The following is a 26,753-nucleotide window of genomic DNA, read 5'->3' on the forward strand; positions in this document are numbered from 1 at the left end:
GGGATTACAGGTGTGAGCCACCGCACCCGGCCTCTTCTTGCTCTTTATCAGTGCCTCTGTGTGTGTGCGCGCTTGCGTGTGTGTGTGTGTGTGTGTGTGTGTTTATTTACAAAGTAATTTCAAAATAATTGTCTTAAACTGACTCCATCCCTGTGGGAGTCTGTAACTGCACTTTCCTACCTGTTGGACAGCTCTCTGGGCTTATTCTGTCTTCCAAGGAAGGTGAGTGAGGTGCTGACGTGGGAATCTCCAAGTTCCCATCCTGCTCATCCCCACAACAGCTTCATTCTCTCCTTGACCCCCCTTCCCCCACCCACTTTTCTCTTGCCCCCCATCCACTCCCTCCAGAGACGTCAAACGCTAGGTTTCACAGGGCTTCAGAATCCTGTTGGGAACCTGGATCATCACCTCATCCACCAAAAGGGTCCTGGTTTCCCTGTTTCTGTAAGTGACACAGCCAGGAAGGACGTCCAGGACTCGCCTGAGCATTGTGGCTGGCTGACGCCTCAGGTCCGCTAAGCATTTCCTGAATTCACCCCACTGTCTGGCTCCCGTCTGCTCCTATTCTTCCTCACCTGAACCCTAACCCCCTCCCTACAGCATGGATAGAGGGGCTGTTTGTCACATTCTACCCATTCTTCATTCCCAGGACACCCCCTCTTTTCTTCTTGGAAGCCCTCCTCTCTCTCTGGCCACTCCTCCAGGCCTCGGGTTAAAGCTCCACCCTCCAGGAAGCCAGCTCTCACTTTTCACACATTGGCCAAGTGTCCTGGACTCCTAAGGTGCAGGCCATTTCTTTTTCTGTCTTGTAATTTCCTGTTTCCTCCTGCCTCTCCTACTGACCATATCTTGAGAGCAGGACTGTCTTTTTCTCTGATGTACTTCGAGAGCCTGCACAAGAGTGTGTTGACTAAAGCAACCAATGGCGGTCCCAGCTAACGTGACCGCTTCCTATTTTGAACTTCAAAGCTCTCCATCCAGGATGCCTCTTAAGGGCCAAAGTGCCCCAGCTGGAATTGGAACCCTCCCAGGTCTGATGCACAAACTTTTTTACCTTGACTGTCTTCCTACCACCCTTTTCTGTCACCGAGGCCCTCTCTGAACTTCAGTTTACTCATCTGTCAAGGAAGAGAACACTCAGGGGAAAATTATAAGGGCCAATTGAACCATATACTTGTAAATAATAATAGGATAAATGAATATGAGCTCTGGGATATAACAAAGAGTGCTACTAGTCATTGAATATTTACATTGTTATGTTTTCTTTTTCTTTTTTTTTCCATATAGAGTCTCGCTCTGTCACCCAGGCTGGGTGTAATCCCAAAGTGCTGGGATTACAGGTGTGAGCCACTGCACCTGACATGTTTTCTATACCAGGTACCATTCTAACATTCAACCTGTATTATGCCCTTAATCCTAACAAATTGGCTCCATTTCACAGAAAAGTGAACTGAGGCACAGAATGGCTAATGACTTATTTGCCTAAGATTCCACACTGGCAGTAGAGGAGCTGGGATTTGCACGTGGGCAGCATAGCTCCACAGTCCATTTGCTTAACTATCACCCCATATTGTCTTTCTATGAAATAATACTATTCCTATTATTTGGTCTCAGAGCTGCCCTCTCCACCTAAAATGAATCCAATCACACAGCCGCTCTCTTCTAGCATGATTCTAACTCTAACAGTAATTTCTGGCCAGGCGCGGTGACTCATGCCTGTAATCCCAGCACTTTGGGAGGCCAAGGCTGGTGGATCACCTGAGGTCAGGAGTTCGAGACTGGTCTGGCCAAAACATGGTGAAAACCTGTCTCTACTAAAAATACAAAGTTAGCCGGGCGTGGTGGCACACACCTGTAATCCCAGCTACTCGGAAGGCTGAGGCAAGAGAATCACTTGAACCCAGGAGGCAGAGGCTGCCGTGAACTGAGATCGTGCCCTTGCACTCCAGCCTGGGAGACAAGAGCAAAACTCCGTCTCCAAAAAAAAAAAAGTAATTTCCATAGGTAGAGTTTTGTGCAGGTACCCACTTTCTTGGAGATATGTTCAAAATGTAGCAGCTCTTTAAAAAGAACTATTCCAATATTTTCTGTTCTTTGATATATATGTTATCAGATCCAACTAGAATACTCATCAGGTGAACTAAACACAGAGAAGTTTAACGACATCTGTTGTCATAATTGGTATGGACTTGCCTTTAGTGGTATTGAAAAATGTATTTTCCCCAAACCCACCATTCCAGGTCCTCATCACTCTTAGAATGAAGTCTCTAGTCCCTTCCCTCATATTTCCAGAACTCTCTTATTAAGAGGAAGATGGGGCAAGGGGGGAAGAAAATAGGCTAGCCTGGGCAGGGGCATCCACTGGATTTTCAAGGAGCAGAGGAGAGTGATAAGCAGAGCTCCGCTGGGCACCTGCAGTCCTTCTGGGCCATGATGCAGGGAGCAGGCTGCACTCCCAGGATTGCCATGGTGTGGCGTGGCAAGGTCACCCCCAGCCTCCCTCTTTGCCCATCCTGTTCCACTCCCTTGATGGCAGCCTCACCTCCAGCAGGATCCCTCATCCCTGGCACAAAGAGCCAACTCCTGCCTACGGGGGCTGGAGAGGAAAGGCAGGGTGGAAAGGGGTCAGCTCTAGACACCCAAGGAGACACTGAGGACAGAAAGGAGGATGCTCGGGGACAGCTGGAAGCAAGAGGCCTGCCTGCCAGCACCGCACTCCCTAACTGCCAGGCCACACTGCCTCGACTTCTGGGGAGCCAGAAACTTGAGGGAGGTCGGGAAGGAAAGGGAGGGAAAAAGATGGAAGAGAGTTTGGGAGATCTAGAGAAAGACTGCAGCGGTTAGGGAGACCAGTACATGTTTCACACCATGTTACATAGATGGTGTGCAGAATAATAATAAAATACAGAGGATAGCAAATAATAAACAGAATACTGCCGTATATTCGCCACCAAGATTAAAGTGTTAACAGTTTGTCTTATTTCTTTCCATTTTCTTTTTATTTATTTATTTATTATTATTATTTTTAAGACAGAGTCTTGCTCTGTTGCTCAGGCTGGAGTGCAGTGGCACAAGCTCAGCTCATTGCAACCTCCTCCGCCTCTTGGGTTCAAGCAATTCTCCTGCCTCAGCCTCCCGAGTAGCTGGGATTACAGGTGCGCACCACCAAGCCCAGCTAATTTTTGTAATTTTAGTAGAGATGGGGTTTTGCCATGTTGGCTAGGCTGGTCTCCAACTCTTGACCTCAAGTGATCTGCCCACCTCTGCCTCCCAAAGTGCTGGGATTACAGGCACAAGCTACCACGCCTGGCCACTTTCTTTCTTTTTTAAAGGAATAACACATTACTGAAACAGCTATAGTCTCCTCCTGTCCCTGTGGAACATCGCCATCTCTGCCCGTTCTCCCTGAAAGGGAACCACTCTCCTGAAATTCTGTCTTTCCCATCTATGCTGTAATTTTTTTTTTATGTGTGTGTGAGAGACAGGGTCTCACTCTGTCACCCAGACTGAAGTGCAATGGCATGATTGTGGCTCACTGCAGCCTCAACTTTCCGGGCTCAAGTGATCCTCCCACCTCAGCCTCCCAAAACGTTGGGATTACTGGCATGAGCCACTATACCTGGCTATGTTTCTACTTTTACTACATGGATATGCACCCACAAAAATATATATTATTGTTCATGTATCATAAATTCTTACAAATATGTAATTTGGCCCATATCCTTTTGCCATTTGGTTTTATTTTACTCACGTTATGTATCATGTTTTTGATACTTATCCCTTTTGATACATGAGATAGTACTTTCATTTTATCTGCTGTATTCTGTTTTATGAATAAATCTAAATTTACTTTTCTATTCTCCTATTCATGGACACTTAAGTTGTTTCTAATTTTTTTTGTTATTATAAAGAACATGAATGGACAATTTTGGTTTCTTTTTTTCCTTTTTTTTGAAACAGAGTCTCACTCTGTTGCCCAGGCCGGGAGTGCAGTGGCATGATCTCAGCTCACTACAACTTCTGCCTCCCAGGTTCAAGCGATTCCCCTGCCTCAGCCTCCTGAGTAGCTGGAATTACGGGCACCTGCCACCATATCCAACTAATTTTAGTATTTTTAGTAGAGACAGGGTTTCACTATGTTGGCCAGGCTAGTCTCAAACTCCTGCCTCGGCCTCTCAAAGTGCTAGGATTATAGGCGAGAGCCATCACTCCCAGCCTGGACATCCTTGTACATATCTCCGTATCATATCTATGGGAGTTTCTCTAGAGCCACCCCTACAGTTTAGAATTGCTGGGTTCCAGGGAAATAAATAATAAACATGCAATTCCAGGTTTATCAGATAGTGCCAAATTGCCCTCTGAAATCATTGTGTTATAAACTCTTTCTTTAGGCTGGGAGCAGTGGCTCACACCTGTAATGCCAGCACTTTGGGAGGCTGAGGCTGGCGGATCACCTGAGGTCAGGAGTTTGAGACCAGCCTGGCCAACAGGGTGAAAGCCCATCTCTATTAAAAGTACAAAAATTAGCTGGGCGTGGCGATGCACACCTGTAATCCCTGCTACTCAGAAGGCTGAGGCACGAGAATCACTTGCACCCGGGAGGCGGAATTTGCGTTACTGTACTCCAGCCTGGGCTACAGAGTAAGGCTCGGTCTCCAAACAAACAAACAGGACGGGCGCAGTGGTTCATGCCTGTAATCCCAACACTTTGGGAGGCTGAGGTGGGCGGATCATTTGAGGTCAGGAGTTCAAGACCAGCCTGACCAAAATGGAGAAACCCTGTCTCTATTAAAAATACAAAATTAGCTGGATGTGGTGGCACATGCCTGTAATCCCAGCTGCTCAGGAGGCTGAGGCAGAAGAATCGCTTGAACCTGGGAGGCGGAGGTTGCAGTGAGCTGAGATGGCGCCATTGCATTCCAACCTGGGTAAGAAGAGCAAAACTCCGTGTCAAAACAAACAAACAGGTTGGGCATGGTGGCTCATGCCTGTAACCCCAGCATGTTGGGAGGCTGAGGAGGGCAAATCACCTGAGGTCAGGAGTTCAAGACTAGCCTGACCAACATGGCAAAATGCCATCTCTACTAAAAATACAAAAATTAGCCAGTAATCCCAGCTACACCAGAGGATGAGGCAGGAGAATAACTTGAACCCAGGAAGCAGAGGCTGCAGTGAGCCGAGATCGAGTCACTGTACTCCAGCCTGGGGGACAGAGCAAGACTTCATCTCAAAAACAAACAAACAGGCTGGGCACGGCGGCTCACGCCTGTAATTCCAGCACTTTGGGAGGCGGAGGCAGGCGGATCATTTGAGGTCAGGAGTTCGAGACCAGCCTGACCAACATGGTGAAACCCCATCTCTACTAAAAATACAAAAATTAGCTGGGTGTGGTGGCAGACGCCTGTAATGCCAGCTCCTCCGGAGGCTGAGGCAGAAGAGTCGCTTGAACCCAGGAGGCGGAGGTTGCAGTGAGCTGAGATCATGCCACTGCACTCCAGCCTGGGTGACAGAGTGAGACTCCGTCTCAAAAAAACAAACAACAAAAAAGCACCACCTCTCCTTCCAGTACCCTATGACTTGCCACTTCTCAGGAGTATGATGTGGTAACTCTTTCTGGGTATAGTTTGCAGTTCTCCATTGTCAGGGATAACTAGCTTTTCACATTTATGGATTACTTACTCATGTTTCAGGAGATTGCCACCTCTGATCCTTTGTTTCTTTTTCTGTCATTTTCTTATTGATTATATTATATTATGTTTTAATAAAGACAGGGCCTCACTATGTTGCCCAGGTTGGCCTTGAACTCCTGGGATCAAGTGATCCTCCTGCATCACCCTCCCAAAATGCTGGGATTACAGGGGTGAACTACCACTCCTGGCCCTATTGATTATAAAAGTATGTTACTTGTAATTGATACTAAATCTTTTTCAATTATATGGACTGCAAATATCTCCTTCCAGCCTGCGGGGGATTGTCTTTTCACTTTGTAGTATCTTTTGTAGTATCAAAAGATCTCAACTTACTATTGAAGCTAGGTGGCTCATGCATAGGAGTTTATTATACTATTCTCATAATTTAAAAAATTGCCATAACAAAAAGTTTGTAAGAATCTATACAACACATAATTCTCTACTATCCCAAATTCCTCTTTTTTTTTTTTTTTTTTTTTTTTTTGAGATAGAGTCTCGCTCTGTCACCCAGGCTGGAGTGCAGTGGTGCGATCTCGGCTCACTGCAACCTCCGCCTCCTGGGTTCATGCCATTCTCCTGCCTCAGCCTCCCGAGTAGCTGGGACTACAGGTGCCCGCCACTACCACGCCCGGCTAATTTTTTATATTTTTAGTAGAGATGGGGTTTCACCGTGTTAGCCAGGATGGTCTCGATCTCCTGACCTCGTGATCTACCCGCCTCGGCCTCCCAAAGTGCTGGGATTACAGGCGTGAGCCACCGTGCCTGGCCTATCCCAAATTCCTAAAGATCTGTGCCTATATTTAATTTAATTTATTTACTTATTTATTTTTTTGACAGTCTTGCTCTGTTGCCCAGGCTGGAGTGCAGTGGCGCAATCTCAGCTCACTGCAAACTCCACCTTCCAGGTTCAAGCAGTTCTCCCACCTCAGCCTCCCCAGTAGCTGGGATTACAGGCACCAGTGCCTATATTTTATAGTTTGACTTTATACATTTAGATCTCTAATGCCACCAGAATTTTTTTTTTTTTTTAAGTTTTGGTCTGTCGCCCAGGCTGGATTACAGGCGTGCACCACCATGCTCAGCTAATTTTTGTATTTTTAGGAGAGACAGGGTTTTTCCATGTTGGTCAGGCTGGTCTCAAACTCCTGACCTCAAGTGATCTGTCCTTGGCCTCCAGACATACTGGGATTACAGGCGTGAGTAACTACACCTGGCCCAGAATTTATTTTTGTAATTGATGTGCCAGAGGATCAAATCTTATTTTTCCTTTTGGGGATGGCCAACTGTTCCAGCCCTATTTCTGACCATTTTTGTCCCTTCACTGACCAGCAATTCCCCCTCTCCCCTACATGTTCTTGGATCTGTTTCTAATCTCTCTATTCTGTTCCTTAGTCACTGTGTCTATTCTTGCATTTTGCCACACTGTTTTCATTCCCATATTACCAGATTGGCCAGATTGGTATCTATAGGGCTAGTGCCCTCTTATTTTTGTTATCTTTCTTTCATTATTTATTTTAGAGACAGGATCTCACTCCAGTCACCCAGGCTGGAGTACAGTGGTGCTATCATGGTTCACTGTAGTCTAGACTTCCCAGGCTCAGGTGATCCTCCCACCTCAGCCTCCCGAGTAGCTGGGACTACAGGTGTGTGCCACTGTGCCCCCTAATTTTCTTTTGTATTTTTAGTAGAGACAGTTTCATCATGTTGCCCAGGCTGATCTCGAACTCCTCGGCTCAAGTGAACTGCCTGCCTCGGCCTCCCAAAGTGCTGGGATTACAGGCGTGAGCCCCCACGCCTGGCCCCCCTCTTCTTTTTCTTCTTCAGCATTAACTTGGTTATTCTTGGTCTTTTTTTCCCATATAAATTTTATTTTATTCTTTTTTGAGACTCCCATATAAATTTTACAATCAGCTTCCAGAAAGACAAAAAACACAGATTGGTGGATTCTTGGTCAGAGTTGCATTGAATTTCTAATTAATTTGGGGGAGAACTAATTTTTTTTTTTTTGAGACAGTCTCTCTCTGCCACCCAGGCTGGAGTCCAGTGGCATGATCACTGTTCGCTGCAGCCTCAATCTCCCGGGCTCAAGCCATCCTCCCACCTCAGCCTCCCAAGTAGCTGAGACTATAGGAGTAAGCCATCATGTCTGGCTAATTTTTGTATTTTTTGGTAGAGACTGGGTTTTGCCATGTTACCCAGGCTGGTCTCAAACTTCTGGGCTCAAGCAATCCAAGCGTCTTGGCCTCCTAAAGTGTTGGGATTACAGGCATGAGCCACCGTGCCCGGTCAGAACTAACATCTTTATAACAATTATAGCCAGGCACAGTGGCTCATGGTAGCCTGTTCCTGTAGTCCCGGCTACTCAGGAGATTGATGTGGGAGGATTGCTTGAACTTAGGAGGTCAAGGCTACAGTGAGCTATGATTGTGCCACTGCACTCCAGGCCTGGGAGACAGAGGAAGAGCCTACCTCTTAAAAAAAAAAAATTATAACATAATACTTTACTGACCATTACCTTGCCTCATTCACTCAAATATTCAAATATTTAGGTCTTCTTTTTTGGTTTCTCCATAAAAAATTTGTTTCTCCACTGGGGTCTTGCCTAGTTTTTTTTATTTTATTTTATTTTTTATTTTTAGACAGAGTCTTGCTCTGTCACCCAGGTTGGAGTGCAGTGGCACGATCTGGGCTCACTGCAACTTCTACCTCCCGGGTTCAAGCAATTCTCCTGTCTCAGCCTCCCAAGTAGCTGGGACTACAGGCGCCTGCCACCACACCTGGCTAATTTTTGCATTTTTAGTAGAGATGGTGTTTTACCTTGTTGGTCAGGCTGGTCTCAAATTCCTGACCTCAGGTGATCCATCTGCCTCAGCCTCCCAAAGTGCTGGGATTACAGGCGTGAGCCATCGCGCCTGGCCATCAGGTTTTTATTAGATTTTTTTCCCTGTGGCATTGTGGTTTTTGCTGCTCTCCCTCCCCACATCAGATATGCTAGGCATGTCCTTCCTTACCTTCTCCTCAAGCTCCTCTGTCCACCCTCATCCCTCTCACTGTCCAGGAAACAGCTGTCTCCTGCCCCAACAACTGACTGTTCCCTCTGAGGCATTGCCAGAGAGGGTAGGGCCCCCACCTCCCACCCTCAGGGTCCTGTCAGCTGAGTGGGGGGTGGGGGGCAGTGGGCAACAGCTGTTGCAGTGGGGACAATGGCTGTATTCTATACAAGCTCCTTTCCTGGGCCACCTCCTCCTCCCTGGCTAGAACAACTGTTCTTGTGGATTGGGGAGTCCCATCTGTCTGTGCTAGCTACTCTTTCAGGCAACCTCCAACTCCCTGGCCCATTTTGCTCATGTCTTACAGGCATATCCAGTGTGTGTCCCACTGCCCGGTCGCCTGTGCATGGGTCTATCATTGCCTGGAATTGGTGGGCAGAGGAATGATGGTCATGGATAAGGGACCATCCCTCCAAAGCGCATCACCTCTTCTTTCAGTGGTCACATTCAGGCCCTAGCTCCTCACTCAGGTAGGTGGTTTCTGGCCTGTTGTCCCAGGCAGAAAGGCACTGTGATTATGACAGGGCTGAGCTCCCAGTTCCTGGGCTAGAACTCCGCCCATTCCCCACCCACACTGCCTATACCTGGCTGGCTCTGGTTCCTGGCCCCAAGGTCTCCCCACCTGCTCCTTGGTAACATCACCCCTTGACACACCCTGCCCTTGATGAGGCCTCCCTGGCTCCTTGTCAGAACTCCTTGTTTAGGGGTCAGAGCTGTCCTCAACCTCCCACAAACAGGAAGGGCCCCACACCAATGCTGATTTCCCAGAGGACAACAGGCCAGTGAAACATGACAGAGCGAGGGGCCACAGCCTCCGCAGGCCTCCCTTGATTCTTCAAGCATTAACAGAGCCCCAGCCTCTGATCTAAGTGCTGCCCATGAGCAGCAGGGTGCCTTGCATCAGGCCTCCAAGGAGCAGCAAGTTCTCTGCTGGCCTCTGACATAAGGGTGGAAGGAAGGAAACTAATATTTATGAGACACCTACCTGGTAGCCAAACTCTGAGCCTCACATTCTCCTCATCTCTTTATCTGGTCAGCTGTAGGTATTATTATAATTCCCATTTTAGGGAGGGGGACCACCCCATAGCACAGCTCCGGAAGGTGCCACTCTCAACTCCCGCTGTGCAATATACAGCCTGCTCTGGCATCCAGAGGGGCCCTGAGAGAGGGTCCCAGAGCCAGCATGTGGTTCCAGAGCGACCAACTCAGAAGCACCTCCAGCCAACTTCACGAGCTGGGACCCAGACACATGTTTTTAATGCAAGTCATGCGGAGGCAGTGGCCTGTCGCAGCATGCTCTTGAGCGCCTGGGTGGAGACATGCAGAAGGGGTGGGAAGAGCAGGACTCTCGGTGCCCGTGGGTCTGGCAAGAACCCATTAGCTCTAGTGCAACTCTTGCTATCATTCCTGCTTTCCCCATCTGCTGTCTGTCACTCTGGTGGCTCTTGGTGTGTCTGTCCTCTTCACCATTGACCCAGAGCCTTGCACGGGCTTTCACACAGTTGGCACACAATGTATGTTGTCATGTCTGGCCCGATTAACTGATGCCTGTGTATGGGCATCATCCAGAATGTTTCTGGATGGCCCTGGGCATCTGGGGAGTGGACCACAAAGGCAGATCCCAGGGGCCACTTAGTGCCAGCCCACAGTCCTCACCTTCACAGGTTGGTATCCAGATACTATTTTTTTTTTTTTTCAATTGACCTTAAGGAAACAGGAGATTTGGTCAGTTTCCTCAAAGTTGCCTGCAGAGCATGGGAGGCAGAGGTCAGGGAAGTGCAGGAAGGATCCATGACACAAGGCTAAACTGGGAACTGGAAGAAACTGCTCCCTGGCGGCTTTGTTCCTGACGAAGATGGTTATTTTTCCAGGAATGCTGAGGAAATCCACAGCAGCTTTAGTGTTCCCGCCTTGGAGAAAATGTCTGGGGCAGGCAAGGGAGGTGGGGTGGAGCTAATGGAAGTGAGGATGGGAAGGTGGTGGAGAGGGCAGTTAATCCCAGGAAGAGTCAGGGGTTAGAGAGTAAACTAAGACTAGATCCATTCCTTGGAGCCAGCCACTGCCCCTCCCCCACCTCCCTGCCCAAACCCCTCTGGAGTTCCCCATTGTTCCCAGAGACAATAGCTAGTTTCCTTTACCTGCCTCATCATCCCAGGCCCAGGAATCTCTCACTCTGTTTACAAGAGGCAGCGGTGGGGTAGGAGTATCTGGGCCTTACCCCAGGGTCCAAGGATCTCACCGCTGGAAGATCCCACAGCTATGGAAACTGAGGCTGGGAGGAGTGGGATGTGACTTAGCCAAGGTCACAGCAACCACAGATGTGGGCCAGTGCTTGGTGGGGCCTCCACGGTTCCCCGTGGAGTACGCACTTTGGTGGTTCTCAGAGGGAGCCATCAGGGCCTGCCGTTCCTCCCCTCGAGACTCTCTCCAGCTGTCTGTGCAGCCCAGGGGTTCTCACACACATCCTGGGAGTGTGTTTAGATCAGTGGAGCCCTGGAACCCAGCTGCACAGACTCTGGGGCAAGCAAACCTGGGTTTGGATCCTGCCACAGAACCTTCATTTATTTGTTCCGTAAACCAAAAAAAAAGTGTGTGAGACAGATCTCCGTCAACTTAGCGGTTTATTTTGCCAAGGTTGACGATAAGCCTGGGAAAAAGAGACAAAAGTTACAGAAGGCTCTGTGGCCTGTCCTTTTTCCAAAGACAGTTTCAGGATTTCCATTCTTAAAGGGGAAAGAGCAGCAGGAGGGAAAAGAGGAACAGTCCATTACTGGTGAGATTCAACAGAACTTGGCCTTAGGGTGAGGACTTTGGAGCCCACAAGGAATTCCTCCTGAGCAATTTGTGAGAAAGGTCACCTGGGGAAATATGCGGCCTTCCATTGCTGCAGCTGTCTGTTTAGGAACCAAAATAAGGCAGTTTTTGTGTGACTCAGTTCCCAAGCTTAACTTTTCCCTTTGTGAGTTTGGGGTCTCTTTTCCTTTCACATTTCTTACAACAATTTTTACTAGTATTTATTGCCAAGCACTGGGCCACAACAAAATTGTTCCTACTCTCAAGTCCCTTCTCTCAAGGAACTTATGTTTTATTTCTTTATTTTTATTTATTTATTTATTTTTGAGACAGAGTCTCGCTCTGTCACCCAGGCTGGAGTGCAGTGGCATGATCTTGGCACACTGCAACCTCTGCCTCCCGGGTTCAAGAGATTCTTCTGCCTCAGCCTCCTGAGTAGCTGGGATTACAGGCACGCATCGCCATGCCCGGCTAATTTTTTGTATTTTTAATAGAGACTGGGTTTCCATGTTGGCCCAGCTGGTGTCTCAAACTCCTGACCTCAGGTGATCCACCCGCCTTGGTCTCCCAAAGTGCTGGGTTTACAGGAGTGAGTCACTGCGCCTGGTGGAACTTACGTTTTAGTAAGGGAGGCAGATAACCAACAAGATAAGGAAGTAAAATATATAGCATGTCTGACAATGATTTAGCAGAGAGGTAAAGAAAGTAGAGGAAAGGATGGCAGGGCAGCTGGAGGTGGGGTGGAAGGACTGTACATTTAAATAGGATGGTTGGGTAATATTTGAGCAAAGATTTGAAGGAGGTCACAGATGAAGCCACGTAGATTTCTGGATAAAGACCCTTTTGGTAGGTGCTTGAGCCTGAGTAGGGGCTCAGGACATACCACTCCAAAACAGAACTGCCAGTGACTAGACTGTGCCACCCCAAAATATACCTCTTTGGGATATTGATTATTTCAAGCTGGTTATTTTAAGAAACTGTAGACATGGGAGTTGCTCTGAAAAGCTGTTCTTTTATAAAGGAAATCTACATTTAACAAGGAAATTTTCACGGGAGAGGGTATCTATATCAGGAAGAGATTTACTCCAGACAATTTTTATCACCTGAGAGACTTGTATCTTACATAGCAAGGCACACTTTATTCACCACCCATTTCCTCCCCTCACCCTCTTATGTCTCCATCACCCCTAGAGGCCCCAAACCCCTATTGTGTAGCTCAGGATAGTACATAAGCCTTAATTTTTGGGTTGTTTCTTGGGGTCTTATATTTTTGTGGGACTCCTGTGCATACATATGAAATTAAAAATGTTTTTCTCCTGTAAATCTGTCTATGTCAATTTAATTCATAGACCTGCCAAAGAACTTAGAAGGGTACCAAGAAGCAATATTTTTTTCTCTTCTATAGTTGTAGAACCCCAAAACTCAGTTTGAGTACCTGATGTGCAGGAAGCCAAACAGTGACACATCAGTGCTTCAGAAGAGAGAATGGTTTATTTGATTTGGCCAACGGGTGAGCATGGGAGAGACACACTTTCAAATCTGACCTGCCTTTGAACATAACTGGGGGCTTTTATGAGTAAGGTAGGTTGTGGGAGGTGATATTCCCCGGTGATCAAAGCTGCTAACAGCCCCAGGTTGATCAAACTTTCTGGATGCCTTCAAGGAGGTCTGCATGACCTAGAGATCATCGTTCTTTGAAAAAAAAAAAATTCATTAGTCTTGCGGGCAACCCCCCAGGGTCAGGGTATGAAGTTAATCAATTATTAGTGACTAACCTCTACCAAAATCACTATGTATAAGCAATTATCCATTGGAAGAGGAAAAGGACAAAGAAAAAGGAAAATAGCAGTGGTTCACATCTATAATCCCAGCACTTTGGGAGGCTGAGGATGGTGGATCGCTTGAACCTAAGAGTTTGAGACCAGCCTGGGCAACATGGAAAAACCCTATCTCTACCAAATAAATAAATAAATAAATACAAAAATTAGCGGCTGGGGGCGGTGGCTCATGCCTGTAATCCCAGCACTTTGAGAGGCCAAGGTGGGTGGATCACGAGGTCAGGAGTTCAAGACCAGCCTGACCAACATGGTGAAACCCCATCTCTACTAAAAATACAGAAATTAGCCAGGCATGGTGGCGGGCGCCTGTAATCCCAGCTACTTGGGAGGCTGAGGCAGGAGAATTGCTTAAACCCAGGAGGTGGAGGTTGCAGTGAGCTGAGATCGCTCCACTTCACTCCAGCCAGGGCAACAGAGCAAGACTTCTTCTCAAAAAAAAAGAAAAGAAAAAATTTAGCCAGGCGTACTGGTGCATGCCTGTAGTCTCAGCTACTTGGGAGGCTGAGGTGGGAGGATCACTTGAGCCTGGGAGGCAGAGGTTGCAATGAGCTAAGATCACACCACTGCACTCCAGTCTGAGAGACAGAGCCAGACCCTTTCTCAAAAAAAAAAAAACAAAACAAAAAAAAACCTCATTTTTGTTGTTGTTGTTGTTTCTTTTTTAGTAATATAGGCTCTGTTACAAAGGGACCTTACTGTCTGGGACCTGCTAGCTCCAGTACTGCCACAATGCAGGATTCCAGGTAAGATTCTTACCATATTAGGCTCCTAGATCTCTGCCTGCAGGGTATGGTCAAAGTGAGATTGGTAAATGTGTCTTTGGTTTTGTTTCTTCTCTTTATTTACTTATTTTTTATTTTATTTTATTTTTTGAGATAGAGTCTCACTCTGTCGCCCAGGCTAGAGTGCAGTGGCTCAGTCTTGGCTCACTGCAACTGCCGCCTCCTGGGTTCAGGTGATTCTTGTGTCTCAGCCTCGGGTAGCTGGGATTACAGGCGCCCGCCACAACGTCCAGCTAATTTTTGTATTTTTTTAGTAGAGACGGGGTTTTGCTGTGTTGGCCAGGCTGGTCTAAAACTCCTGGCCTCAAATGATCCACCTGCCTCGGCCTCCCAAAGTGTTGGGGCTACAGGCGTGAGCCACTGCACCTGGCCTGTTTTTCCCCTTTCTGAATTTAGATTAACAAGATAAAACATTTGTGTGTTCTTGTGTAGCACACTAGGGTTTGGGGATTTTTCTTTTATTTTTTGGTCTAGTACTTGTTTCTGATCCCTTGCCTCCTGGGGATAGTCATTTTTGTTTGTTTGTTTTTTGCCTCTATCTTTTGTGTCCTTTGTCATAAGGAGGAGAATCATGGAATGAGGGTCTCCTTTTGTCTTGTTTTATGTCTTGATGGCTTGGCTTTGTGACCAGTGAGGGTATTCTCTGTGGTCTCTGCCAGCCAGGGGTGCAAGTGTTGGCTTGCATCAGGCAGCCAGTCTAACAGGCTGGGAGCCCGAGACATGAAGTGACAGGAGTATTCTCTCCGTGTGGCCTTGTCAGCTCTCGAGGTGTTTGTCTTAATAAGAGGTCCCAGTCTATAAGGGGCCTATGACTTCTCAACCTCCATTGCTTGGTTAGTGCTGGGAAAGTCCCCTCCAATTAATGCCTGCCCAGAGAGAGGACAACTGCTGTCAAAGATGAGCAGATTAGCAGGTTAATGACTACAGTCATCCCACATTCCTTGGCAAACCAAGATTTCATTTTCACAAACACTATCCTTAACTGCCTGTGACAGGGAAGGTCTTTACTTTTTTTTTTTGAGACGGAGTCTCGCGGTCTCCCAGGCTGGAGTGCAGTGGTGCGATCTCCGCTCACTGCAAGCTCCGCCTCCCAGGTTCACGCCATTCTCCTGCCTCAGCCTCACACCCACCACCACGCCTGGCTAATTTTTTTGTATTTTTAGTAGAGATGGGGTTTCACCGTGTTAGCCAGGATGGTCTCGATCTCCTGACCTCGTGATCCACCCGCCTTGGCCTCCCAAAATGCTGGGATTACAGGCATGAGCCACCGTGCCTGGTGGTCTTTGCTTTCTTTGGCTGTCTCTGGGACTGAACTTTTTGGATCATAGGGCTGCAACTTCTGCATCCACATCGGGAATGCTATTTGTACCCACAGGAAAGATTTTTTTTTTTTTAGGAGTTTCACTCTTGTTGCCCAGGCTGGAGTGCAATGGCATGGTCTCGGTTAACTGTAACCTCCACCTCCCGGGTTCAAGCGATTCTCCTGCCTCAGCCCCCTGAGTAGCTGGGATTACAGGCATGCACCACCACGCCCAGCTAATTTTGTATTTTTAGTAGAGCGAGGTTTCTCCATGTTGGTCAGGCTGGTCTCGAACTCCCTACCTCAGGTGATCCGCCCACTTCAGCCTCCCAAAGTGTTGGGATTACAGGCATGAGCCACTGTGCCCGGTCAGTAAAGATTTATTCTAAGCCTGGAACGTTTCCTCTGGGGCTTTAAATGAAAAAGCTTATTGGTTCGAGTCACTTCTGGAATAAACAAATTGGTACTATTTGAGAAAAAAAAATTGATCAAGTGCAGTGGCTTACACCTGTAATCCCAGCACTTTGGGAGGGCGAGACAGGTGGATTGCTTGAGCCCAGGAATTCAAGACCAGCCTGGGCAACATGGCAAAACCTCGTCTCTACAAAAAATACAAAAATTATCCAGGCATGGTGGCGTATGCCTGTGGTCACAGCTACTTTGGAGGCGGAAGCAGGAGGATCGCTTAAGCCTGGGAGGATCGCTGGAGCCCAGGAGGTCAAGGGTGCAGTGAGCTTTGATCACACCACTGCATGCCAGCTTGGGCAACAGAGTGAGATCTTGTCTCAAAAAAAAAAAAAAAGAAAGAAAGAAAAAAACATTTACAGCTCTCCTCCTAAACAACTGTCTTATTAATACCCATGGGAAGATCAAATTGAAAAGAGGTATAAAGGCTAACCTTGGGAACTCCCTTAATGCGATCAAAAAACAAGAACACAGAAATCAGTTAGAACTAAGTTGAAATCCAAATCCACCATAAATCCCCTTCTCCACCTTCTTATACTCCTGTTTACCCCCAACTCCCTGGCCCTGGCCCTCCAGAAGATCTCTCGGATCTCTAGACCCCCTAAACTGCCCTCCTCAAAATCTGGCCTCACTTCCTCAGCAAATTCCTTAAACTCCCCAAGCTCCTCCAGCTTCCCCAGAAAATTCCTTAAACACTAGATGCCTGTTTTAACTTCCCTTTCCCTGAAAGAATTACAGAGAGCACTGGTCTCCAGGCCTGGGACATATAGGTTGAGTTACTTTGGCAGAAGCACCTAGGGTGAGTGGCAAGGATCACTTTGCTGTTCCTTAAGGCTCCCATTGCCAGAACTCTGCAGTCAAGCTCTGCCCACTTCAGGGGACTCCCCACTCACCTTTATGCTCCCCATGCTGTGTCTGCCCTTTCACAAGTTCAGAAGACACAGCACCTCTTCTACACAGTGGCAGATCACCTAGGAATAGGCCCTATGAACTAATCCCTCTTCCCACTCAGTCACTAAACTTTAGGCTCTCCTGCTCTCTCTCACTCTCTTTTTTTGAGACAGGGTCTTGCTCTGTCGCCCAGGCAGGAGTGCAGTGGCATGATCTCAGCTCACTGCAACCTCCGTCTCCAGGGCTCAGGTGATCCTCCTGCCTCAGCCTCCTGAGTAGCTGGGACTACAGGCGCATGCTGCCACACCCAGCTAATTTTTGTATTTTTGGTAGAGAGAGGGTTTGGTTATGTTGCCCAGGCTGATCTTGAACTCCTAAGCTCAAGCCATCTTCCTGCCTCAGCCTCCCAAAGTGCTGGGATTACAGGTGTGAGCCACCGTACCTGGCTTCGTGCTCTTAAAGGACTCAGGGACCCCCAAAAGATTGATCTCTGATAACAGGCAAATAGTCCCCAAATTCATTCTCGGAGCCATGGATAGCTATTGATTCACCAGCCTCAGCCTCCCAAAGTGCTGGGATTGCAGGCACCACGCCCGGCCAAAATCCCATGTATTTAACTTGTAGGTTTTTGCTTTCATGATATTTGCTCAACATTCACGTGCTGTAAAACAGTTATCAGGGAAATAACTTGATGATGGCTAGCTTTGTCTAATGTTTCATAAGATTTTCATGCATAATTGTTGCCCAAGCATAATTGTTAAGAACAAGTGACTTAAATATATGTAAGTAGGATAAAAGTTTTAAAATATACCTTTTGGCAGGCTGCGGTGGCTTGTGCCTGTAATCCCATCACTTTGGGAGGCCAAGGCAGGGGGATCACAAGGTCAAGAAATTGAGACCATCCTGGCCAACATGGTGCAACCCTGTCTCTACTAAAAATACAAAAATTAGCTGGGCGTGGTGGCAGGTGCCTGTAATCCCAGCTACTCAGGAGGCTGAGGCAGGAGAATCGCTTGAACCTGGGAGGTGGAGGTTGCAGTGAGCCGAGATCGCGCCATTGCACTCCAGCCTGGGCGACAGAGCAAGACTCTGTGTCAAAAACAAAAAAAGTATATATATATATATATTTTATTATTTATTTATTTATTTGAGAAGGAGTGTTGCTCTGTCACCCAGGCTGGAGTGCAGTGGCGCGATCTCGGCTCACTGGAACCTCCGCCTCCTGGTTCACGCCATTCTCCTGCCTCAGCCTCCCGAGTAGCTGGGACTACAGGCACCTGCCACCACGCCCAGCTAATTTTTTGTATTTTTAGTAGAGACGGGGTTTCACCGTGTTAGCAGGGATGGTCTCCATCTCCTGACCTTGTGATCTGCCCACCTTGGCCTCCCAAAGTGCTGGGATTACAGGCGTGAGCCACCGGGCCCGGCCAATATATATACCTTTTAACAGTAATCATGTTTTGTTTTGTTTTGTTTTGTTTTCGTCATTTTGGAGACAGGATCTCCTCTATCACCCAGGCTGGAGTGCTGTGGCTTGATAATAGCTCACTGCAGTCTCGAACTTCTAGGCTGAAGTGATCCTCCTGTCTCAGCCTCCTGAGTAGCAGATGTGCACCACCACTCCTGGCTGATGGTTTTATTTTTATTTTTGTAGAGACAGGGTCTCCCTATGTTGCCCAGGGTGGTCTCCAAGGCCTGGGGGCCTCAAGCGATCTTCCTACCTCAGCCTCCCAAAATGCTGGAATTACAGGTGAGCCACCATGCCTGGCCAATAATTATGTTTTATAATATGTCTGTTTAAAAATAATTTCCCAAATCTCTTCGGTAACTTACTCTCTTTAAGTTATACTAGGTTAAATTAAGTGATGGCTATTCATTGTATATCTAGATCATTTCCCAACAAGATAAAATACTGAAATATTAATTGCTGAACATAAGTTTATCTACTTTTGTCTTCTTATTATAAAGGAACTAGAGATAGTTGGGTCTGTTAGTAAATATGTCCTTTGCCACTTCAAAATTGTACTATGGGGCTGGGTACAGTGGCTCACGCCTGTAATCCCAGCACTTTGGGAGGCTGAAGCAGGAAGATCACGTGAGGCCAGGAGTTTGAGGCTCCAGTAAGCTATAATCATGTCACTGCATTCCAGCCTGGGCGACAGAGCAAGACCCCGTAGTAGTACTAGTTACTCATGAGGTCAAGGTGGGAGGATCACTTGGGCCCAGGAGTTTGAGGTTGCAGTGAGCTATGATGGCTCCACTGGGCAATACAGCAAGACTCTGTCTAAATAAATAAATAAACAAACAAGTAAATAAAAGCACATACTTCTAGAAATTATAAAATGATGTATTTATAGATTTGTCATTCTATGAATGCTGCTGTAACAGTTTGTAACTGCTTACTTCCTAGTTTTCGCTAGAAATTAAGGTTACTAAGGGTTAAGAATTTTAATTAATATGTGTAGTTAAAACTAGAAATAATAAGGGAAACAAGTTTGTATGCAAAATATACAAGAAAACTAATGCATACTTTCGGTTAGGAAACTTATAAGGTATAAGAATTTTTGGGGGGTAAAGGAAAATATTAATTTTGTCTAGTTTGGAGGTTATTTAAGGTTGCTTCAGAATGAAAGAAGGAAATGGGGAGGTGCATGGGGAAAGGGAAGGCATTGCTCAATGAGAGCAAAGCTATAGCTAGATAGGAGAAATAATTCTGGTGTTCTACTGCACAGCAAGGTGACTATAGTTAATACAATGTATTATATATTTTGAGATAACTAAAATACATTATTTCTTTTCTTTTCTTTTTTTTTTTTTTTGGACACGAAGTCTCACTGTGTCGCCCAGGCTAGAGTGCAGTGGTGTGATCTCTGCTTACTGCAACTTCTGCCTCCCAGGTTCAAGCGATTTTTGTGTCTGAGCCTCCTGCGTAGCTGGGATTACAGGCACACGCCACCATGTCCAGCTAGGTTTTGTGTGTGTGTGTGTGTGTGTGTGTGTGTGTGTGTTTAGTAGAGAAAGGGTTTTGCCATGTTGGCCAGGCTGGTCTCGAACTCCTGACCTCAAGTGATCTGCCACCTCCTCCCCCCAAAGTACTGGGATTACCCGTGAGAGCCATTGTGCCTAATCTAGAATTTCTTTTTAGAGACAGGATTTTGCTATGTTGGCTGGGCTAGATTTGAACACCTGGGTTTAGGCAATCCTCCTGCCTCGGTTTCCCAAGTAGCTGAGACTATAGGCATGTAGCACTATGCCTGGCTAAAAGAGAGGATTTAAAATGTTGTCTACTGGGTATGGTGGATCATGCCTGTAATTCCAGCACTTTGAGAGGCTGAGGCGGGAGGGTCACTTGGGCTGAGGCGGGAGGGTCACTTGAGCTCAGGGGTTCAAGACCAGCCTGGGCAACATGGCCAAACATGTCTCTACTAAAAATACAAAAATTAGCTGGGCGTGGTAGCATGTGCCTGTAGTCCCGGCTACTGGGAAGGCTGAGGTGGAAGGCTCAGCTGAACCCAGGAGGCTGAGGCTGTAGTGATCCATGATCATGCCACTGTGCTCCAGCCTGGGTGACAGAGTAAGACCCTGTCTCAAAAAATAAATAAATAAATAAATAAATAAATAAAAATTTTAAAAAATAAAATACTGTCACCACGAAGAAATAATAAATATTTGAGGTGATATATAAGCCGATTATTCTGATCTGATTATTCCATAATGTATACATGTATTGAAATATCACTTTGTATCCCATAAATATAAACAATTATTTATCAATTAAAATAAAATGAAACAAAAAAACCTGAATGGATATAGAACATTGGGAGAAAGAATTTTGTATAGTCAAACTGACTAAAATTTAATGAATTTATTTAAAAGGTTTTACAAATTAGCCTTAATATAAAAAAATACACTTATGCAAAGCTAGAATTTGGGCTTGGTGTCTCATGCCCGTAATCTCATCCATTTGGGAAGCTGAGGCAGGAGGATCACCTGAGGCCAGGAGTTCAAGACCAGCCTGAGCAACATAGTGAGAACTTGTCTCTCCAAAAAAAAAAAAAAAACAAAACTTGACTGGGCACGCATGCACCTGTAGTTCCAGCTACTGTGGAGACTGAGGTGGGAGGATGGCTTGGGCCCAGAAGGTCGAGGCTGCAGTGAGCTGTGATTGTACTCTAGCCTAGGAAACAGGGTAAGACCCTGTTTCTAAATAAAAATAAAAATAAATGAATAAATCAATAAATGACAAGGTTTTCTAGGAGCTTTTGTCAGCTCTTGAAAAGAGATTGCTGGCTGTGCGCCGTGGCTCACGCCTGTAATCCCAGCACTTTGGGAGGTGGAGGTGGGTGGATCACGAGGTCAAGAGATTAAGACCATTCTGGCCAACATGATGAAACCCCCTCTACTTAAAAACAATACAAAAATTAGCTGGGCGTGGTGGCGCATGCCTGTAGTCCCAGCTACTCGGGAGGCTGAGGCAGGAGAATCGCTTGAACGCGGGAAGCAGAGGTTGTAGTGAGCTGAGATCACGCCATTGCACTCCAGCGTGGGCAACAAAAAAAAGAAAAGAAAAGAATAAAATAAAATAAAAGAGATTGCAAAACGTTTTTCTTTACCTTTTTTTTTTCAGACGGAGTCTCGCTCTGTCACCCAGGCTGGAGTGCAATGGCGCGATCTCCACTCACTGCAACCTCCGCCTCCCGGGCTCAAGCAATTCTCCTGTCTCAGCTTCCCGAGTAGCTGGGATTACAGGCACGTGCCACCACGCCCAGCTAATTTTTGTATTTTTAGTAGAGACAGGGTTTCATCATATTGGTCAGGCTGCTCGAACTTCTGACCTCAGGTGATCTGCCCGCCTTGGCCTCCCAGAGTGCTGGGATTACAGGCGTGAGCCACTGCACCCGGTCTCTAGTATTGTTTCATAATGACAAGTGATCCTATTTAATCAAGAGTTTTAAAGATTTTGACATTTTTTACAACTTCCCAAAATTCTAAATAAATTTTTATTTCTTTTTTGAGACAGGGTCTTACTCTGTCACCCAGGCTGCTGTGCAGTGGCATGAACATAGCTCACTGCAACCTTGAACTCCTGGGCTCAAGCAATCTTCCCACCCTAGCCTCCTGAGTAGCTGGGACTACGGGTGTGCATTGCCATGCTCAGCTAATTTTTTTATTTTTTATTTTTTTGTAGAGACAGAGTCTCACTATGTTGCCCTGGCTGGTCTTGAAATCCTGGGCTGAAAAGTCAGAACCTTTGGCTTTAACTCTGAGTGAGATGTGAGCCATTGGATAATTTGAGCAGGGAAAGGATCAGATTCAGCTCATGTTTTATAAGCATCATTCAGGCCACTGTGTGGAAAAGAGAAACAGGAACATCAGTTAGGTGGATACTTCAATGATTCTGGCAAGAGATGATGGATGTTCCGATGAGGGAAATCATACTAGTATCTGACAAGTGGTGAGATTCTGAAGATTTTGAAAGTAGAGCCACCAGGATTGGCTAATGTGGGTAGTGATCTATAATAGGAAGAGAGGAGTCAAGAATAACTTCTAAGATTTTGGCCAGGGTAACTAGAAAGATATAAATTGCCACTTAGAGATGGGAAAGCCTAGGGAAGGAGAAGGAGCAGGTGTAGAGGAAGATCAGGATGTTTATCCGCTGTGAGGCTTTAGGTGAGTTGCTTAACCATCCTGATCCCCAGTTTCTTCGTTTGTACAATGGTTATAATAATTGCTCCCCTGCAGGGTGGTGGTGAGAATTTTGTTTGTTTGCTTTTTGAGATGGAGTCTCACTCCGTTGCCCAGACTAGAGTGCAGTGGCATGATCTCGGCTCACGGCCACCTCTGTCTCCCGGGTTCAAGCAATTCTTCTGCCTCAGTCTCCTGAGTAGCTGGGACTATAGGCGCATGCCAGCACCCCTGGTTAATTTTTGTATTTTTAGTAGAGATGGGGTTTCACCGTGTTGGCCAGGCTGGTCTTGAACTCCTGACCTCAAATGATCCACTCACCTTAGCCTCCCAAAATGCTGGGATTACAGGTATGAGCCACCATGTCTGGCTAGTGGTGAGAACTGAGCGAGATCCTGAACTCAGAAGCTTGGCATATGTGTGTACCCAATGCACCTGTCACCCACAACCCTACAATAGCACATGGTCATCATACCTTCTCCGGAAGCAACTGGAAGGAGAGGAAGACTCTGCCTGTGAGTCTATACTCTCTAGCTCCTCTCTTCTGCTTCCTTTAGGTAGAAGTGGGACAGGCCTTTTTGACCTGGTAAGTTTTCTTTCTTTAGGGTCTTACATGCTGATGGAGATGATGATGCTAGTGGCGGCTGGTGGGGATGATGACAAATGCTCATATTCCCAAGGCCTTGAGGTTTACAAAACACTTCATGGACAGTATCTCATCTGATCCAGCAAGGCAGGAATTATACTTATTTTATGAAGTAGAAGAATGAAGTATTTATAAAACCAAATAGGTTGAGTGCAGTGGCTCACGCCTGTAATCCCAACACTTTGGGAGGCAAAGGTGGGAGGATCTCTTGAGCCCAGGAGTTAGAGACCAGCTTGGGCAACACAGTGAGACCCCTGTCTCTACAAAATAAATTTTAAAAAGTAACCGGGTGTGGTGGCGCCTGCCTGTGGTCCCAGCAACTCGGGAGACTAAGGTGGATCACTTGATCCTGTGAGGTTGAGGCTGCAGTGAGACATGATCATGCCATGGCACTCCAGCCTGGGTGACAGAGTGAGACCTTGCCTCAAAAAAATAATATAAATAAAATAAATAAAAATAAAAAACAGGCTGGGCGTTGTGGCTCACGCCTGTAATCCCAACACTTTGGGAGGCCAAGACGGGTGGAGCACCTGAGGTCAGGAGTTCGAGACCAGCCTGGCCAACATGGTGAAACCCCACCTCTACTAAAAATACAAAAATTAGCCGGGCATCGTGGCGGGTGCCTGTAATCCCAGCTATTCAGGAGGCTGAGGCAGGAGAATCGCTTGAACCTGGGAGGCAGAGGTTGCAGTGAGCCAAGATCATGCCACTGCACTCCAGCCTGGGTGACAGAGTGAGACTCCGTCTCAAATAATAATAATAATAAATAAATAAAAATTAAAAACAACATAAAACCCAGGCTATAAACCCAAAGAGATATACCCAGCTATCTCATAGAATTTCATTTAATCTGAGGGAGGAAAGCAGGTGGAGGAGAGGGTCTTGAAGTAAGCATCCAAGGGGGAATGCCACCCAGCTGTGTCCAGCTGTGCCCAGCTAGGAGATAGACTGTGCCTCTACTTTTCTTCCCCCAGGAGAGGGCCCACAGGGGCCTGCTTGGGTCCTAGTCTCCCTGTCCCAGCCACTGAGCATGCCTGGTGCTCAGGTGTGTGTGCAGTCTGCAGACTCACTGCTTCTGAGGTTTAGGCAAGTGGGTCTCATATATTGTCCTGTTCCAGTTACTCCTTCCAGTTACTCCCACTTACTGAGGCTACAGCGGAGAGGACTGGAGCCCAGAAGAGTCAACGTTCTTAAGGAAACACAATTAGAAAGTGCAGTCTGGGCTGGGCACGGTGGCTCAGGCCTATAATCTCAGCACTTTGAGAGGTCGAGGCGGGTGGATCACTTGAGCTCAGGAGTTTGAGACCAGCCTGACCAACATGGTGAAACCCTGTCTCTACTACAAATACAAAAAAATTAGCCTGGCATGATGGCACACTCCTATAATCCCAGCTACTTGGGAGGCTGAGGTAGGAGAATCGCTTGAACCCAGGAGGCAGAGGTTGCAATGAGCCGAGATCCTGCCATTGCACTCTAGCCTGGGCAAAAAGAGCAAAACTCTGTCTCAAAAAAAAAAAAAAAAAAAAGAAGAAGAGAAAGAAAAGAGAAAGTGCAGTCTGGGTTCCAACTCGAGGGAAATCCTGCATATGTTCCCTTCCCTCTCCTCCCCCTAGACTGGGAAGTGGGGGCCAGCCCAGCTGCCCGCTCCCCTCAATATACCAGGTGCCAGAACACAGCTGTTTCTTCATTGTTCCCCAACCCAGGCGGACTGTAATTGGTGGGGCAGAGCAGGGCGGGGCTACCCCTGTGCTGAATCCAGTGGGGCTATCTCCACTCCAGGCAAATCCAGCCAGAGACTGATTCTGAGCAGCAGTTCTGCCCGGTGAGAGCTGCCGTGGATTGGTGGGGGTAGGGGACTGAGAGGTCAGGGAGTGTCAGGTCAGGGTGGATCAGGAGCCCCAAAAGAAAAATTGAGAATTGCCTGGAGAAGAACTCCTGCTAGACTGAGGGAGAAGGGTTAGGGAACTCCAGGGGCATTGAGGCTGTGCAAGAGGAGGGGGTGACTAGAGGAAGGGAGGGGCCAGGGAGCAGTAGGAATGCCTGGAGCTGGGAACGGCAAGCTGTAGGTCTTGGTTTACTCTTGCCTTGGTTCAGTCTCCCCATCTGTGCTATGGTGAGAACCTTCCTGCCTCAGCTGCCTTGCCAAGAGAAAGGGCTTCATGAAAGCAAAAATGACCTACAAATTGAGGTCAGGAGCAGGAAGGTGTAAACTGAAGGGAGGGGGAACTCCTGCCCACCCCATGTCCTTGCCAGGTGAGGCAGAACCAGGACATGCAAGCCTAAAGTCTGTGTTGTCTTCCCAGGCACTGACTCACTGGCCCTGCCATGCCCACGCCACTGCTCCCGCTGCTGCTTCGATTGCTGCTGTCCTGCCTGCTGCTGCCTGCTGCCCGCCTGGCCCGCCAATACCTCCTGCCCCTGCTGCGCCGATTGGCCCGCCGCCTGGGCTCCCAGGACATGCGAGAGGCTTTGCTGGGCTGTCTGCTGTTCATTCTCAGCCAGCGACACTCGCCAGACGCTGGGGAGGCCTCAAGAGTGGACCGCCTGGAGAGGAGGGAGAGGTTAGGCCCCCAAAAGTGAGGCCACAAGTCCTGGCAGCAGCTGTATCCACAAAATGCTTTCTTTTGGAGTAGGATAATCCTGGCACCAGCACTGACCGAAGCCTGCCCAGTGGACAGAAGATATAGTGAGGGTTGTGCATGAGAGGGATCTGCCACAGACATGCCTCTCCACTCCCAACAGAAATGTCTTTCTGGAAGAATGCCTTGCATCTAGCACAAAACTGATTATTGCCCCTCTGTCCTCCAGCAGTTCCTCCCAAAGACCACTCCTAATCACCTCTGGCCTCAGGCGGGAGGGGAACTAACACCCACCCACCCCTGCCCTCCCTGCAAATGGGAACATCAAGGTTCCCAGTGCTTAACTGAGGGACAAGTGACAATTTAGCAGAGAGGCAAGATTTGAATCCAGACTGTCTTCCAGACTCAGGACCTACCTTAAAATAATATCTGAGTTGCTTATGGAGGCAGACCTGCCTGCAAAGCCCAGCACTCAGCAAGTGCTCAATAAATATTTGATTTGAATTCTTTCCATGGCTTTGAAAGTCTAATCACCCAGACTGCTGCTCTGCAAAACAGTTTAACCTGGCCTGGCAGTTGGTGGGGGTGGGGGAGAGGAGAGATGGACAATTGTACAAGGGTTTATTTTGCTACCTATTCCATCGTGGTTTCAGTCCTCACAGCCTGGAAGTTGTTTCCCCCTGCTAAGTTTCGGTCAGTATGTCACACTGTGACCCAGAAATGGCTTGAGTCCATCTAGGAGGAAGTTTGCCTGGCTAGCTCACAGTAGGGAGGAAAATATCCTCCAGCGAGTTTGAGGACTTCTCAGCTAGTGGTGGTGGGAAGAGGGGTGATACGTTTGCTAAGAGACTGGGTGGGAGGCCACCCAGGGAGGCAGTGCAGAAATGCATCCCCTTGAGGGTCATCCCACCCTAGAAGAGACTAGGGTTGGGTGAGTTGCCTTAAGAACTGACTTCATCATTTCCTCCTCCCTAGTGGGAGGCCCCTCAGGGGTCAAATAAGAGCCTCAGAAGAGTCAACATGCTTAAGGAAAC

The 26,753-nt window shown here is 47.3% G+C and overlaps 1 protein-coding gene and 1 pseudogene across 3 annotated transcripts, besides 7 other annotated features; both read left to right on the forward strand.

Annotated features, from left to right (window-relative positions):
• On the forward strand, positions 715–26,228 carry MYMX (myomixer, myoblast fusion factor). 3 transcript variants are annotated; one of them, XM_024446300.2, is made up of 4 exons: positions 715–1,031; positions 9,048–13,043; positions 14,037–14,114; positions 25,444–26,228. In XM_024446300.2, exon 4 carries the CDS (start codon positions 25,466–25,468, stop codon positions 25,718–25,720), a length of 255 nt encoding a protein of 84 aa, XP_024302068.1. In that variant the 5' UTR covers positions 715–1,031; positions 9,048–13,043; positions 14,037–14,114; positions 25,444–25,465; the 3' UTR covers positions 25,721–26,228. The 3 variants fall into 3 exon arrangements, with proteins under 3 accessions (XP_024302068.1, NP_001334860.1, NP_001302423.1); NM_001347931.2 differs by lacking the exons at positions 715–1,031; positions 9,048–13,043; positions 14,037–14,114 and adding an exon at positions 24,920–24,988; NM_001315494.2 differs by lacking the exons at positions 715–1,031; positions 9,048–13,043; positions 14,037–14,114 and adding an exon at positions 24,920–24,962.
• Positions 8,547–9,547: an enhancer, noted in NCBI's record as "H3K27ac-H3K4me1 hESC enhancer chr6:44168290-44169290 (GRCh37/hg19 assembly coordinates)". NCBI's record gives its function as "activates a minimal SCP1, AML or CMV promoter by ChIP-STARR-seq in naive H9 embryonic stem cells {active_cell/tissue: H9 hESC(naive)}" and the evidence as "EXISTENCE:reporter gene assay evidence [ECO:0000049][PMID:30033119]".
• Positions 9,548–10,547: an enhancer, noted in NCBI's record as "H3K27ac-H3K4me1 hESC enhancer chr6:44169291-44170290 (GRCh37/hg19 assembly coordinates)". NCBI's record gives its function as "activates a minimal SCP1, AML or CMV promoter by ChIP-STARR-seq in naive H9 embryonic stem cells {active_cell/tissue: H9 hESC(naive)}" and the evidence as "EXISTENCE:reporter gene assay evidence [ECO:0000049][PMID:30033119]".
• Positions 10,548–11,548: an enhancer, noted in NCBI's record as "NANOG-H3K27ac-H3K4me1 hESC enhancer chr6:44170291-44171291 (GRCh37/hg19 assembly coordinates)". NCBI's record gives its function as "activates a minimal SCP1, AML or CMV promoter by ChIP-STARR-seq in naive and primed H9 embryonic stem cells {active_cell/tissue: H9 hESC(naive and primed)}" and the evidence as "EXISTENCE:reporter gene assay evidence [ECO:0000049][PMID:30033119]".
• Positions 11,549–12,548: an enhancer, noted in NCBI's record as "H3K27ac-H3K4me1 hESC enhancer chr6:44171292-44172291 (GRCh37/hg19 assembly coordinates)". NCBI's record gives its function as "activates a minimal SCP1, AML or CMV promoter by ChIP-STARR-seq in primed H9 embryonic stem cells {active_cell/tissue: H9 hESC(primed)}" and the evidence as "EXISTENCE:reporter gene assay evidence [ECO:0000049][PMID:30033119]".
• RN7SL811P (RNA, 7SL, cytoplasmic 811, pseudogene) lies at positions 17,760–18,057 on the forward strand (annotated as a pseudogene).
• Positions 21,323–21,504: a silencer, noted in NCBI's record as "fragment chr6:44181066-44181247 (GRCh37/hg19 assembly coordinates)". NCBI's record gives its function as "represses an EF-1alpha promoter that drives an FKBP-Casp9 reporter gene in an ReSE screen in K562 erythroleukemia cells {active_cell/tissue: K562}" and the evidence as "EXISTENCE:reporter gene assay evidence [ECO:0000049][PMID:32094911]".
• Positions 24,406–25,291: an enhancer, noted in NCBI's record as "H3K27ac-H3K4me1 hESC enhancer chr6:44184149-44185034 (GRCh37/hg19 assembly coordinates)". NCBI's record gives its function as "activates a minimal SCP1, AML or CMV promoter by ChIP-STARR-seq in primed H9 embryonic stem cells {active_cell/tissue: H9 hESC(primed)}" and the evidence as "EXISTENCE:reporter gene assay evidence [ECO:0000049][PMID:30033119]".
• Positions 25,292–26,177: an enhancer, noted in NCBI's record as "H3K27ac-H3K4me1 hESC enhancer chr6:44185035-44185920 (GRCh37/hg19 assembly coordinates)". NCBI's record gives its function as "activates a minimal SCP1, AML or CMV promoter by ChIP-STARR-seq in naive H9 embryonic stem cells {active_cell/tissue: H9 hESC(naive)}" and the evidence as "EXISTENCE:reporter gene assay evidence [ECO:0000049][PMID:30033119]".

Source organism: Homo sapiens, chromosome 6 (genome assembly GCF_000001405.40).
Source record: "Homo sapiens chromosome 6, GRCh38.p14 Primary Assembly".
In the NCBI taxonomy this organism is placed as follows: domain Eukaryota; kingdom Metazoa; phylum Chordata; class Mammalia; order Primates; family Hominidae; genus Homo; species Homo sapiens.

Excerpts from the sequence above, each read along its gene's own strand:
- MYMX (XM_024446300.2), top strand. The coding sequence starts at position 25,466 with ATGCCCACGCCACTGCTCCCGCTGCTGCTTCGATTGCTGCTGTCCTGC.